Below are 15,327 nucleotides of genomic sequence, written 5' to 3'. Positions count from 1 at the left end.
GCTTCCAAAATGGAGCATTGCTGTTGCGTCCCCTAAATGGAATGAACACAGGGTCCTCACATGGCAGAAGAGTAGGAGAGAAAAACTCTCCTCCTCAAGCCCTTCTATAAGGGCACTAATTCCATCCACAAGGGCAGAGTCCTCACGGCCTAATCACCTCCCAAGGGCCCCAGCTCTTAATACTATCATTTAGGGATTAAGTTCCTACATATTATATATATATACACACACACACATATATGAACACACATATATACATATATATACATATATACACACATATATACATATATACGCGCACACACACACACACACACACACATATTTTTTTTTAGATGGAGTCTCGCTCTGTCGCCCAGGCTAGAGTGCAGTGGCGTGATCTCGGCTCACTGCAACATTCATCTCCTGGGTTCAAGCGATTCTCCTGCCTCAGCCTCCCAAGTAGCTGGGGTTAAAGGCGCCTGCCACCATGCCTGGCTAATTTTTGTATTTTTAATAGAGACGGGGTTTCACTATCTTGGCCACGCTGGTCTAAAACTCCTGACCTCATGATCCACCCACCTTGGCCTCCCAAAGTGCTGGGATTACAGGCATGAGCCACTGCGCCCGGCCTCCTACATATAAATTTTAAAGGGAATGTGTTCAAACTGCAGCAGATCAAAGCATGATGTAGGCTGATTTAAACAAAACAAAACAAAACATAGCAGTGAGCAACTGTCCCAGTTTTTCCTGGACTGAGGGGTTTCCTTGGACACAGGACTTTCAGTACTAAAATGTAAAAATCCCAGACAAACTGGGACAAGCTGGTCAAACCTAGTTGAGTTTGAATTTGATATTTAACACTTTCAACATCTTAATGACATTTAAGATGTGAAAATAGAATGTATTTTTCATACTCCTCGTCACTGGGACACTATATTTCTTCACTGACAACTTTTAATGGCCAAGGATCTTATCACTAATGAAAAAGGGAACAGGCTGGGCGAGGTAGCTCACGCCTGCAATCCCAGCATTTTGGGAGGCCGAGGCAGGCAGATCACCTGAGGTTTAGGTGGGAGGATTGCTTGAGCCTGGGAGTTCAAGTCCAGCCTGGGCAACATGGTGAGACCTCATCTCTTAAAAATTAAAAATCAACTACAACAAAAAAGAGGGAGGTAGTAGGACCTATTTCACGGAATCATTATAACTATAAGAAGAGTTATGTTTGGCCGGGTGTGGTGGCTCACGCCTATAATCCCAGCACTTTGGGAGGCTGAGGCGGGTGGATCACGAGGTCAGGAGTTCGAGACCAGCCTGACCAACATGGTGAAACCCTGTGTCTACTAAAAATACAAAAATTAGCCGGGCATGGTGGCATGTGCCTGTAGTCCCAGCTACTTGGGAGGCTGAGGCAGGAAAATCGCTTGAGCCCGGGAGGCAGAGGTTGCAGTGAGCCGAGATCGCACCACCGCACTCCAGCCTGGCAGACCGAGACTCTATCTCAAAAAAAAAAAAAAGAAAAAGAAAAAGGGAACAGAACATGGGCATGTATTTTGCATAAAAGATAGATTTAACTTAAACCTTTACATTAAACATTCTCAATATCTATCCATTTCACTCAATTATTTGCAATATTTGTCTGATATAGTGAAAGTCAGTGTATCCATTAGTTATGCCACATAACAAACCACTCCAACATTTAGTGGCTAAAAACAACCATTTGTTTAGCTCGTGACTTTATAGGTGGGCTGAGAGGTTCTTCCTTTCTGGGCCAGCTCATATGATCACTGCTGGGTATTCCCAGGTGTCTGTGGTCAGCTGGTGGCTAGATGATCCTAAGACGGCTTCCTGTCTATGTGTGGAGGTTGGGGGCCATCACCTGGGTAACAAGAGCAACTGGGTCACATGTCTGGACGTCATCATCCAACAGGCTAGCTCCTTCACATGAAGTTATAGGGTTCCCAGGAGAAGTAAGAAGGCAAACCCCAAGGTACAAGTACTTTTTTTTTGAGACAGGGTCTCACTTTGTCACTTATGCTGGAGTGCAGTGATGCAATCTCAGCTCACTGCAACCTCCGCTTCCTGGGCTCAAGGGATTCTCCTGCCTCATTCTCCCAAGTAGTTGGGATTACAGGCACCTGCCACCATGCCCAGCTAATTTTTGTATTTTTGGTAGAGATGGGGTTTCACCATGTTGGCCAGGCCGGTCTTGAACTCCTGACCTCGAGTGATCCACCCACCTCGGCCTCCCAAAGTGCTGGGATTACAGGCGTGAGCCACCACGCCCGGCAGAGCTTACTTTGACAGTAAAAATTCCCAAAGAGCAAAGTACTGCTTACAAGTACTTTGGAAGCCTCTGTTTCCCCCAACATTTGCTAATGACATATTGGCCAAAACAAATCACATGGCTCAGCCCAGATTCAAAGGGTAAAAAAGTGACTCTGGCTGGGCGCAGTGGCTCATGGCTGTAATCCCAGCACTTTGGGAGGCTGAGGCGGGCAGATCACCTGAGGTCGGGAGTTCAAGACCAGCCTGGCCAACATGGAGAAACCCCGTCTCTACTAAAAATACAAAAAATTAGCTGGGCGTGGTGGTGGGTGCCTGTAGTCCCAGCTACTCAGGAGGCTGAGGCAGGAGAATGGCATGAACCTGGGAGGCAGAGCTTGCAGTGAGCCGAGATCGTGCCACTGCACTCCAACCTGGGTGACAGAGCGAGACACTGTCTCAAAAAAAAAAAAAAAGTGACCCCACTTCTTCATGGGAGGGTCTACAAAGATACACTGCACATAGAGATGGGAAAAATTCTTTAGATCTACCTCAGGTGGCATAGAGAATTTCCTTTTTTCTTTTGGGCAATATTCAATTATTAAAGTCACTCAACTTTTTGAATTTCCGTTTTCTTATAAAATTATGAGGAAGATGACAACTAAATTTGAAGCTGTATTTAAGAATGAAAAGCAATATGCCAAAAGTGTAAAGCACATAACCAGACACATAGCAAACAGTGACCATTAGTTCTCCCTCTCTCTCTCTCTCTAGCTCTCACTCTCTCCCTTACACACACATACACACACACACACACACACACCCCAATACAAAGCATTACATATAGTTGTTCAAACCAGTCTTTGGTATCCAATAGATCTGGGTTTGAATTCCAGGTCTGCTGGTGACTAGTTTTAAGATGTTGAACAAGTTATGTTCATTTCTCTGGAACCTTAGTTTTCTCATCTGGAAAATGAAAATAATGAGGTCTGAATTCCAAAATGCCTGACTGCTGGTTTTAATTACTTTCTTCTATCTGCCCTCTGTCTTCTCCTATTATTTTTTTTCTCCTTATCTAATATAACTCCATTGCATATGTTGCAGTTAGGAATCCTTGCAGCAGGAATTCACTGCTTATCCGACTAACAATAGCTTAAGCAAGAAACACCTTTCATTACCTCACACGGCAAGAAGACTGAAGGAACCATGTGGTATAGACCTGATCTCCTTCTCTGCTCTACCCTTGTTCACAGGTTGACTTTTCTTCTCCATGCTTGTCACCTCATACTTAGACCAATCCTAATTCTTTGGGTCTGAATATTTTCTCACTTGAAACAAAATTGGGGTTTTCTTATGCTGCGTGAGGTGGCTCACGTCTGTAGTCCCAGCTACTCAGGAGGCTGAGGCAGGAGGATGGCTTGAGTCCAAGAGTCTGAGTCCAGCCTGGGCAACATAACTAGATTCTGCCTCTAAATAAATAAATAAATATGGACACAGAGTGTGGCATAATAGACTGGGGGCTCAGATGGGTGAGGGGAGTGGGGGCGATGAGAGATGATAAATTATTTAATGAGTTTAATGTGTTCAGGCATGGTGCTCGCGCCTGTAATTCCAGCACCTTGGGAGGCTGAGGTGGGAGGATCACTTGATCCTAGGAGTTGGAGACCAGCCTGGGCAACATGGCAAGACCCTGTCTCTAAAAAAAATTATTAAAAAAATTAATAAGTTTAATGTACATTATTCAGGTTATGGCTACACCACAAGTCCAGACTTCACCATTATGCAATATATCCATGCAACAAAACTGCACTTGTTTTGTTTTGTTTTGTTTTGTTTTGTTTTGTTTTGTTTTGTTTTGTGAGACAGAGTCTCTGTCCCCCAGGCTGGAGTGCAATGGCGCAATCTCAACTCACTGCAACCTCCGCCTCCCAGGGTCAAGCAATTCTCGTGCCTCAGCATCCCAAGTAGCTGGGATTACAGGCACCCACCACCACGCCTGGCTAATTTTTGTGTTTTTAGTAGAGACAAGGATTCATCATGTTGGCCAGGCTGGTCTCCAACTCCTGACCTCAACTGATCCACCTGCTTCAGCCTCCCAAAGTGTTGGGATTACAGGCATAAGCCACCGCACCCAGTGTTTTTTTTTTTTTTTTTTTTTTTTAGATTTTTGTTCAGATTGAACCCAAGAGGACTCGTGACTCATGGCTCAACTGGTCCTATGGCTCCACCCAACAGCAAGTTCTGCACACCCCTATGATTGCTTCCCCAACGAATCAGCAGCAGTTATTCCCTAGCCCCCTGCCCATCAAATTGTCCAGAAAAACCCTAAGCTCCAAGCCTTCAGGGAGACTGATTTGAGTAGTAACTCCATCTCCCGCATGGCATAGCTGGACTTGGATTAATTAAACTCTTTCTTTATTGTCGTGCCATGGTCTGAGTGGATTGATTTTGTCTGTGCAGCAGGCAGGGAGATGATCACAGTCCGAAGCCCAGTGCCCCACTCAAGAACTCAGCCAAGAAGGTAGCAGAGAGTCTCAGCTGAAGTTCCCAGGCTCCAGAATCCTACTGGGGATTCTTATCCAGAGGCAACCTTAGTTGAAGCATTTAACCTCCTTGAAACTGTTTAAAGAGTTTTCTCACCTTGCGTGGTGGCGCACACCTGTAATCCCAGCACTTTGGGAGGCCAAGGCGGGGGATCACTTGAGGTCAGGAGTTCGAGACCAGCCTGGCCAACATGGTGAAACCCAGTCAAAAATTACCTGGGTGTGGCAGGGGGGTGCCTGGAATTCCAGCTACTCGGGAGGCTGAGGCAGGAGAATCACTTGAACCCAGGAGGCAAAGGTTGCAGTGAGCCGAGATTGCACCACTGTATTCCAGCCTGGGCAACAGAGGGAAACTCCATCTCAAAAAAAAAAAAAGTTTTCTTAACTATATAATAGGGATCTCATCTATATAATAGCAATATAACCTCCCTCAAGTTGATATTGTCCTAACGATTAAATGAAATAATGCATGCTGTGTCTGCACAAGGTGACAATACTTAATATTATCATAGTTTAACTCATTCTCTGACTACCAGGGCTGTTGCCCTTATAGCAGTGTCAGCCACAGGTCAAATTCAAGCACATGCTCTTTGGCCCAGAGAATGTTTTTATAAATGTGGAAAGTTCTTCTAATAAAATGTATACTTTCAGCTTACATAGAAAAAATTAGAAAAAGTTTAAAAATTTTTTTAATTAGAAAAGTTAATGGTAGAGGAGACTCACTTGAACCCAAGAGGCGGAGGTTGCAGTGAGCCGAGATCACACCACTGCACTCTAGCCAGGGTGACAGAGCGAGACTCCATCTCAAAAAAAAAAAAAGGAAAAATTAATGCTAGAATCATACTCTCAAAGGGCACCAGCAGCTGGAGCCTATAGTAGCAGGTGCCCATTTCAGGGCTCTCCAGTTCACCAGTCACCACCCCTCCCTATTGCATTACACTTCGACCACTTTACCCGTATCCTGCCCTGGTGGGCATTTGAGTTTGCCAGTGAGGATCCCAGCAGGAAACAGATGCCCCCTTAAAATAGAGTTAGCATTAGGCAGGGCGCGGTGGCTCACGCCTGCAATCCCAGCACTTTGGGAGGCCAAGGTGGGCGGATCACCTGAGGTTGGGACTTCGAGACCAGCCTGACGAACATGGAGAAACCCCGTCTCTACCAAAAATGCAAAATTAGCCTGGCGTGGTGGCACATGCTTGTAATCCCAGGTACTCCGGAGGCTGAGGCAGGGGAATCGCTTGAACCCAGGAGGCGGAGGTTGTGGTGAGCCGAGATTGCGCCATTGCACTCCAGCCTGGGCAACAAGAGCGAAACTCTGTCTCAAAAAAAAAAAAAGAGAGAGAGAGAGAGGAGCAAGAAGTAGTGAACGCCCTGAGGCTAATCGCAGCAGCAGAGAGCCATTCTTGCCCCCAGGCCAGAAAGGCAAAGGTAGGTGTGGTTCCCAGAATCTGAAGAACACAGCTGTAGAGAAAGCGACCTGACCAGGACTGTGACCTTCAGGAGAGAGATGCAGCCAACCTGGGGCAACCTAGCAGAGAGGGCGCCAGGGAAATACATGCTCCAACCTCCCTTTCTCCTCCCTCCATCTCCTCCAGGTGTCTCCCGTTGGCTAAACCCAACTGGAAACTATAGAGTAGGGGAACGTGTGAATACCGTCCAGGGAAGGCCACCACGGAGGCCGGAGGGCAGGGTCGGAGAGGAGATCCGGAAGAGGAGATGAAAAATATGGCCGGGCCGGGCGCGGTGGCTCATGCCTGTAATCCCAGCACTTTGGGAGGGTAAGGCGGGCGGATCACTTGAGATCAGGAGGAGTTCGAGACCAGCCTGGCCAATATGGTGAAACCTCGTCTCTAATAAAAATACACCGGGCGTGGTTGTGGGCGCCTGTAATCCCAGCTACTCGGGAGGCTGAGGCAGGAGAATCACTTGAACCCGGGAGGCGAAGCTTGCAGTGAGCCGAGATCTGCCACTGCACTCCAGCCTGGGCAACAGAGTGAGGCTCTGTCTCAAAATAAAATAAAATAAAATAAAATAGAAAAGAAAAGAAAGAAAAAAAAAAATATGGCCGGCACAGTGGCTCATGCTTGTAATCCCAGCACTTTGGGAGGCTGAGGCAGTTGGATAACCTGAGGTCAGGAGTTCGAGACCAGCCTGGCCAACATGGTGAACCTCTGTCTCTACTAAATACAAAAAATTAGCCAGGCATGGTGGCGGGCACCTCAAATATTTTAGAATCGCTTGAACCCAGGAGACAGAGGTTGAAGTGGGCCAAGATTGTGCCATTGCACTCCAGCCTGGGTATGAAGAGCAAAAACTCTATCTCAAAAAAAAAAAAAAAAAGAACAAGAAAAATATTTACATGCCATCACTGATTTTAAATTCTTCCTGGCCAGGCACATCGGCTCACAGCTGTAATTCCAGCACTTTGGGAGACTGAGGTGGGCAGATCCCTTGAGTCTAGGAGCTCGAGACCAACCTGGCCAAACATGACAAAACCCTGTCTCCAAAAAAATACATAAATTTGCCAGGCGTGGTGGTGCGTGTCTGTAGTCCCAGCTACTGGAAAGGCTGGGGTGGGATGGTTTGAGTCCGGGAGCAGAGGTTGCAGTGAGCCGAGATAATGCCACTGACCTCCAGCCTGGGTGACAGAGTGAGACTCTGTCTCAAAAAAAAATTCTTCCTAGTAATAGTAGATAATAGCCAACACCACCTTCTTCAATACTCAAATTTTAGATACCAGTTCCTCTATAAAATATTTTTAGACCGCTTTCCCACCCAATAATAGAACTGAACCTCTTCTTGGTTTCTCCCCATTGTACCCCATTCATATTTCTGTTCTCCACCCAACACTTTTTTATTCTTGATTGTCCTCCAGGCTACCTCTGCTCACTCTGCCCTGATAACACTGAATACAGGAACTGTCTCCATCACCCAGAACTCCCGGAACCAAGCACTCAGCCCGACACGTCATACTTATTAAAAACACGGAGGTCGTGAGTGGATTTCCACGTATTGTTCTAGATGATGGAGAGGCCTGAAGAGTGAGGAGTGGGGAAGAAATGTCATCGCTGTTTTCACCTGCACCCTTGTTTCAGAGAAGTGAATAGTCATTCATCTCTGGTCAACAAAATGATAATAGTAGCAGCAACAATAATATTCTCTTTTTTTGAGCACTTCTTATGTGCCAAGTACTTTATGTATGCATTATCATAATTAAGTCTTTCAACAATACCATAAATCATATAATATTATGATCTCTATTTTTCCAGGGAGGAAACTGAGGAATAGAGAGAGTAAGTGGTGGGGGTGGGGGGCGCGGTGGCTCACGCCTGTAATCCCAACACTTTGGGAGGCCAAGGTGGGCAGATTGCTTGAGCCCAGGAGTTCAAAACCCACCTGAGCAACATGACAAAAACCCATCTCTATAAAAGATATAAAAATCAGCAGGGCGTGATGGTGTGTGCCACCAGTCCCAGCTACTCAGGAGACTGAGGTGGGAGGATCACTTGAGCCCAGGATGTGGAGGTTGCAGTAAACCGAGATCATACCACTGCACTCCAGCACTGACAACAGAGTGTGAGATCCTATCTCAAACAAAACAAAACAAAACAAAACAAAACAAAACAAAACAAAACACCACCAAGTTAGTGGTGAGGGCAGGATTTGACACCCAGATCCAACTGATGGATTTGAAGTCTTCAATCCGAAATACTACCTCTCTATTGTTCACATAGCCTTAAATTACTATTACTTCTACTACTTGTAAGCTGGACTATATGTTTGTTATTTCTATTAAAAGTATTGGAATTTTGATTCAGCAGTAAATACAGATCCAAATGAAACAGTGGCTTAAGCATAGAAAGGTTGTTTCCTTCATATAACAAGAAGTCCAGAGGTCAGCTCCTGCTGGTTTGATTCATTGGTTCGAGGATGCAAAGGATGAGATTTCCAATATTTTCTCGGACTTGCCCTCTTAGTCACAAAATTGCCACTTAAGCTCCACCAATCATTCCCATATTCCAGGCAGATAAAAAAAAGAAAAGTAGAAGGCAAAATGGCACCTGCCCAAGAGATAAAGCCTAGGCCGGGCATGGTGTCTCACACCTGTAATCCCAGCAGTTTGGGAGGCTGAGGCGGGCAGATCAGCTTGAGGCCAGGAGTTCAAGACCAGCCTGGCCAAAATGGTGAAACCCCGTCTCTACTAAAAATATAAAAAATTAGCTGGGTGTGGTGGCACACAACTGTTATCTCAGCTACTGAGGAGGCTGAGGCATGAGAATCACTTGAGCCTGGGAGGTGGAGGTTGCAGTGAGCCAATTGATATTGCACCATCACTACACTCCAGCCTGGGCGATACAGTGAGACCCTGTCTCAAAAAAAAAAAAAAAAAAAAAAGGAAGATAAGGCCTTTTTACAGAGCATTCCCACATGTCTCATCTGTATCTGCTTTCACTTCAGAAGTCACCCCTATTGGCAAGTGAGACTAGGATATAGATATATTTAACTGAGGACATTGCTGACCCCAACAGTATGGTGGCTCTGTTCACAAAGAATAGGGATGGTGGGTTGGCAGGTAACATTCTCTGCCACACTTCAAGTTATCTGTTTATGTCTATCACTTCATATCTTTTTTTTTTTTTTTTTTTTTGAGACAGAGTATCACTGTCGCCCAGGCTGGAGTACAGTGGCATGATTTCAGCTCACTGCAACTTCCAACTCCTGGTTCAAGCAATTCTCCTGCCTCAACCTCCTGAGTAAATGGGATTACAGGTGCGTACCACCATGCCCAGCTAATGTTTATATTTTTAGTAGAGACAGGGTTTCACCATGTTGACCAGGCTGGTCTGGAACTCTGACCTCAGGTGATCTGCCCACCTTGGCCTCCTAAAGTGCCAGGATTACAGGCATGAGCCACTGTGCCCAGCCAATTCATATCTATATCTTTAAATATTTATGCCTTATTCCAGGGGTTGGCAAACTAAGCCTACTGCCTGTTTTGAGAAATAAAGTTTTATTGGAAAACAGCCATGCTCATTCATTTACATATTGTGTATGGCTGCTTTCACAGGGCAAGGCAGAGTTTAGTAGTTGCTACAGAGAGGCCAGGTGGGCGCAGTGGCTCACGCCTGTAATCTCAGTACTTTAGAAGGCAGAGGCAAGAGGATCACATGAAGCCAGGAGTTCAAGACCAGCCTGGCCAACATGGCGAAATCCCGTCTCTACTAAAAATACAAAAATTAGTCAGGTGTGGTGGTGCAGGACTGTAATCCCAGCTATGGGCTGAGGCACAAGAATCATTTGAACCCGGTAGGCGGAGGTTACAGTGAGCCAAGATCACACCATTGCACTCCAGCCTGAGCGTCAGAGCAACACCCTGTCTCAAAAAGAAAAAAAAAAAAAGTTACTACAGAGGCCATCTGGCCTCCAAAGCCTAAAATATGTTTTTTTTTAATAGTTAATATCTCACCATTTACCAAAAAATGTTGCCAACTCCTCTTTTATTCTATTTCTTTTTGTCTTTGGAAAAACAAATTGTACCTCACTGTGACTCATTCACTGAAATGAGAATAGACCCAAATATAGTAGGTAAGACAGGAAGCAATCCTCCGTCATAATTTTAGTGTCTCTTTGTCATTCGTGCTGTGGCTCCAATTAACAAAGACCATTCAAAGAGCATATGAGATTTAATAGGCGTTTCCACTGTGATTTGCTGCAAGGTCTGAGCAATTTGATGTCATTTTTCAATATCTCTCACAACAATGGCAATCATTTTCACTAAAGAATAAACACACTTTTTGACTCCAGATGCCCAGAGACATTCCAGAAGACTCACACACAGGAACAATCTAAAATTATTCAGCTTTGGCCAGGTGTGGTGGCTCACTCCTGTAATCCCAGCACTTTGGGAGGCCGAGGCAGGCAGATCACCTGAGGTTGGGAGTTTGAGACCAGCCTCATCAACATGGAGAAACCCTGTCTCTACTAAAAATACAAAATTAGCCGGGCGTGGTGGCGCATGCCTGTAATCCCAGCTACTCGGGAGGCTGAGGCAGGAGAATCACTTGAACCTGGGAGGAAGAGGTTTTGATGAGCCGAGATCACACTATTGCACTCCAGCCTGGGCAACAAGAGCGAAACTCCATCTCAAAATAAATAAATAAAATAAAATAATTCAGCTTTGTACTCTATAGAAACATCACATTCAAAGGCAACTTTGTATGTGTGGGGATAATTACAAGTTTGATGGTAAGTGCAGGTTATCTGAGGAATAATTTCTGTGAAGAATTATACAGAAGTATACAGAGTGTTGATTGAAGAATATCTTTTTTTTTTTTTTTTGAATCTCACTCTGTCACCAGGCTGGAGTGCAGTGGTGCAATATCGCCTCACTGCAACCTCCGCCTCCTGGGTTCAAGTGATTCTCCTGCCTCAGCCTCCCAAGTAGCTGGGACTACAGGTGTGCACCACCATGCCTAGCTAATTTTTATATTTTTAGTAGAGACAGGGTTTCACCATGTTGGCCAGAGTGGTCTCAATCTCTTGACCTTGTGATCTGCCCACCTCAGCCTCCCAAAGCGCGGGGATTACAGGCATGAGCCACCATGCCCAGCCGAAGAATATCTTTTTTTTTTTTTTTTTTTTGAGATGGAGTTTCGCTCTTATTGCCCAGGCTGGAGGGCAATGGCGCCATCTCGGCTCACCGCAGTATCTGCCTCCTGGGTTCAAGCGATTCTCCTGCCTCAGCCTCCCAAGTAGCTGGATTACAGACAAGCGCCACCACACCCAGCTAATTTTGTATTTTTAGTAGAGGCAGGGTTTCTCCATGTTAGTCAGGCTGTTCTCGAACTCCCGACCTCAGGAGATCTGCTTGCCTCAGCCTCCCAAAGTGTTGGGATTACAGGCGTGAGCCACCGCGCCTAGCCCAAAGACTATCTTATAGCAAATCTCTACAGATTGAGAAAAATCAAAAGTATTTATGTACCTGTAGGCTTGTAAAAATCTACATGCTATACTTTCATTCAATACTCTATACAGAGCAGACACATTTTTTGCAAAGGATTTGCAACCAAATAACTTTCATAGTTCAAAAAATTTCTGTTTATCAACTTGCTGGCATTGTCATATGGCTATATTATATACAGTTTATAGTTCACGCAACCTGCCAGCTCCAAAATTGTGTTTCTTGACAAATTTGAGGTTTTGGGATTTTTCTTTAGATGGAGTTTCACTGTTGTCACCCAGGCTAGAGTGCAATGGCCCAATCTCAGCTCACTGCAACCTCCACCTCCCAGGTTGAAGCGATTCTCCTGCTTCAGCCTCCCGAATAGCTGGGATTACAGGTTTGTGCCACCACGCCTGGCTAATTTTGTATTTTTAGTAGAGATGGGGTTTCCCCATGTTGGTCAGGCTGATCTCGAACTCCTGACCTCAGGTGATCCACCCGCCTCAGCCTCCTAAAGTGCTGGGATTAGAGGCGTGAGCCACCTCACCAGGCCTGGTGTCTCTTCTTATAAGGACACTAATCCCATCAGATAAAGGCTCCACTCTTATGACTATATTTAACCGTAATTACTTTCTCACTCCAAATACAGTCACATTTGAGGTTAGGGCTTCAACATATGAATTGGGAGGGGACACGATTCAGTCCATAGCAACCTGTAAAACAATAATTTCTCAACAAATGGTAGCTAGTATAATTTTATTATTATTATTAATCATCATCATAGCTTTCAAGAGCAGTCCCCACTCTGAGCTTTGCAGGTTTGTGAGCAGCTCAGACAATTACCCCTAGCTGGGACAGATAGAAAAAGCTCATAAGGTTGGGCATGGTGGCTCATGCCTATAATCCCAGAGCTTTCGGAGGCCAAGGCAGGAGGATCGCTTGCATCCAGGAATTGGCGACCAGCCTGGGCGACATAGTGAGACCCCATTTCCACAAAAAATAAAAAATGAGCCAAGTGTTGTGGTGTGTGCCTATAGTCCCAGCTACTAGGGAGGCTGAAGTGGGAGGATCACTTGAGCCTGGGAGGTTGAGGCTGCAATGAGCTGTGATCACGCCAATGCACTGCAGCCTGGGCAACAGAGTGAGACCCTGTCTCAAAAAAAAAAAGCTCATGAGCTAATGAAATAGTCTTTCTTTCCAAGTGAAATGAAAAACTGGATTTCACAAGTAGCGATCATTGTTTACCAAGAAAAGAAGAAACGATTTTGAAGAATATTGTGAAATGCTGAAAGGCCAGAAAAAAAAAAGTCCTCTTTTCTCATTGGCAGACAGAGGAGATGGGTAAGGTGGCATCTTTCTTCAAAGCCAGTTCAGCCTGGAGATGAATGTGAGAGCTTCAGGGAAAACCAGCTCCTGCTCGGGCCCCCAGAATGATGGGTGAGCTCTGACGGAGACTGAAGCCCACATGAGGCTCTTCTGGTGCCTGCAGTGGATAGACGTGCTGGCTCTCTAAAGAAAGAGCCAGGCAGATGGCTACCAGCTCCAATTACTTTCCAGTCATTTCTCAAGTGTGTAAACTCTCTGGGTGCTATTGTCCTCCGCCCCCCTTTCAGGAGGGTATTAATGCCAGATTAGTGATCTGAAGCAGGCCCTCATGCCTCTGTGGGGCTGCAGACGGGTGCCTCCTTGAACGTGGTGTTTCCAAAACAAGACACTGGCCTCCGAGAATGTGTTTTATCACCTCTCAAGCCTTGAATGGGAAAATTCAGTGGAGATTTGCTTTTCATTATTTTCTCCAAAATGTGTGTGTAACTCCTAGATATTTATTCCCTCAGGAGTACTCCCACACACATGAAATACCGTACAAGTTTATTTGTTGCAGCACTGATTGTAAGAGCACAGGAGCAGAAATTATTTAAATACTCATTCATAGGAGACCGGTGACAGAAATTAATTCATTAAAAGGAATACTATGCAGCAGTTACGGCAAAGAGTGAGGAGGTGCTGGCAGGTACGCAGTGACGCCAAAATCACTGTGAAATAACAACAGCCGGGCATGGAGGCTCGTGCCTGTAATCCCAGCATTTCGGGAGGCCGAGGTGAGAGGATAACATGACATGAGGCCAGGAGTTCGAGACCAGCCTGGCCAACATGGTGAAACCCCATCTCTACTAAAAATACAAAAATTAGCCGGGCATGGTGGCTCATGCCTGTATTCTCAGCTACTTGGGAGGCTGAGGCAGGAGGATCACTTGAACCCAGGAGGCAGAGGTTACAGTGAGCCGAGATCGTGCCACTGCATCTAGCCTGGCGACAGAGGAAGACTCTATCTCAAAAAAAGAAAGAAAAGAAAAGAAAAGAAAATGTACACAATACATACCACAGAGGTTGCTTCCAGATTCATAAAATAACTCGGGAAATATATATGAGAAACTTGAAATAATAAGTTTTCCACAGGGAAGGGACTTGAAAACAGGAGGGAAGACTCAAAACAGGAAGGGACTTGAAAACAGAAGGGAGACTCAAAATCCTTTGTACCTATGAATTTGGTATCATGGCATGTATTCATTAAAAAAACTTATATATATGGTTATCTATACACATACATATATATACATATATATATATATATATATATATATATATATATATATATGTATATATATATAAAAGTTTAAATAGCCAGGCACAGTGGCTCACGCCTGTAATCCCAGCACTTTGAGAGGCCAAGGCAAGCGGATCACAAAGTCAGGAAATCAAGACCATCCTGGCTAACACGGTGAAACCCTGTCTCTACTAAAAATACAAAACATTAGCTGGGTGTGGTGGCACATGCCTGTAGTCCCAGCTACTCGGGACGCTGAGGCAGGAGAATCACTTGAACCCGGGAGGCGGAGGTTGCAGTGAGCCAAGATCGCACCACTACTCTCCAGCCTGGGCAACAGAGTGAGTCTCAAAAAAAAAAAAAAGTTTAAATAATACCTCCCAAAATAAAATGTATGATTATTATTGTATGTATTATTAATTATTATAATATTAAAGCATTGAGGAAGAATGGGAAACATCGTAAACTCTTCTATCTTCTTTGTAGTTCCTTTGGTAGTTTTAGTCTGAAATAATTTGATTTTTACAGACCTACAGCGTTCCCACGGGCCATTCACCCAACTTCCCTAATTATTAACATCTTACGTAATCCTAAGTCATTTACTAAAACTAAGAAATTTACATTGATGAAATACTATTCACTCAGCTTCAGACTTTATTCCAATTTCACCAGCTTTTCAATTAATGTCCTCTTCCTATTCCAGAATCCCACCCAAGACACCACACTGCGCTGAGTCTTCACATCTCCTTGCCTCCTTAAGTCAGAGACAAACTACTGTTTTATCACTGGCGCCATTCTCAGCCAACAGGAAGACTCAGAGGGAAAGAAAATACTTTGATTTTTTCCCTTTTTTTTTTTTTTGAGTCAGAGTCTTGCTCTGTTATCCAGACTGGAGTTCAGTGGCGCGATCTCAGCTCACTGCAGCCTTCCCTTCCTGCGTTCAAACTATTCTCGTGCCTCAGCCTCCCTAGTAGCTAGGATTACAGGCACAC

The 15,327-nt window shown here is 44.9% G+C and overlaps 5 annotated features.

The window, feature by feature from the left end:
* Positions 1,707–1,806: an enhancer, noted in NCBI's record as "active region_18133". NCBI's record gives its function as "activates an Ori minimal core promoter by ATAC-STARR-seq in GM12878 lymphoblastoid cells {active_cell/tissue: GM12878}" and the evidence as "EXISTENCE:reporter gene assay evidence [ECO:0000049][PMID:35858748]".
* Positions 2,087–2,136: an enhancer, noted in NCBI's record as "active region_18132". NCBI's record gives its function as "activates an Ori minimal core promoter by ATAC-STARR-seq in GM12878 lymphoblastoid cells {active_cell/tissue: GM12878}" and the evidence as "EXISTENCE:reporter gene assay evidence [ECO:0000049][PMID:35858748]".
* Positions 2,537–3,037: an enhancer, noted in NCBI's record as "H3K27ac hESC enhancer chr20:52345091-52345591 (GRCh37/hg19 assembly coordinates)". NCBI's record gives its function as "activates a minimal SCP1, AML or CMV promoter by ChIP-STARR-seq in primed H9 embryonic stem cells {active_cell/tissue: H9 hESC(primed)}" and the evidence as "EXISTENCE:reporter gene assay evidence [ECO:0000049][PMID:30033119]".
* Positions 5,252–6,249: an enhancer, noted in NCBI's record as "H3K27ac-H3K4me1 hESC enhancer chr20:52341879-52342876 (GRCh37/hg19 assembly coordinates)". NCBI's record gives its function as "activates a minimal SCP1, AML or CMV promoter by ChIP-STARR-seq in primed H9 embryonic stem cells {active_cell/tissue: H9 hESC(primed)}" and the evidence as "EXISTENCE:reporter gene assay evidence [ECO:0000049][PMID:30033119]".
* Positions 6,250–7,249: an enhancer, noted in NCBI's record as "H3K27ac-H3K4me1 hESC enhancer chr20:52340879-52341878 (GRCh37/hg19 assembly coordinates)". NCBI's record gives its function as "activates a minimal SCP1, AML or CMV promoter by ChIP-STARR-seq in primed H9 embryonic stem cells {active_cell/tissue: H9 hESC(primed)}" and the evidence as "EXISTENCE:reporter gene assay evidence [ECO:0000049][PMID:30033119]".

This window comes from Homo sapiens, chromosome 20 (genome assembly GCF_000001405.40).
Source record: "Homo sapiens chromosome 20, GRCh38.p14 Primary Assembly".
In the NCBI taxonomy this organism is placed as follows: Eukaryota; Metazoa; Chordata; class Mammalia; order Primates; family Hominidae; genus Homo; species Homo sapiens.
This window is presented reverse-complemented; position numbering and strand designations above follow the sequence as displayed.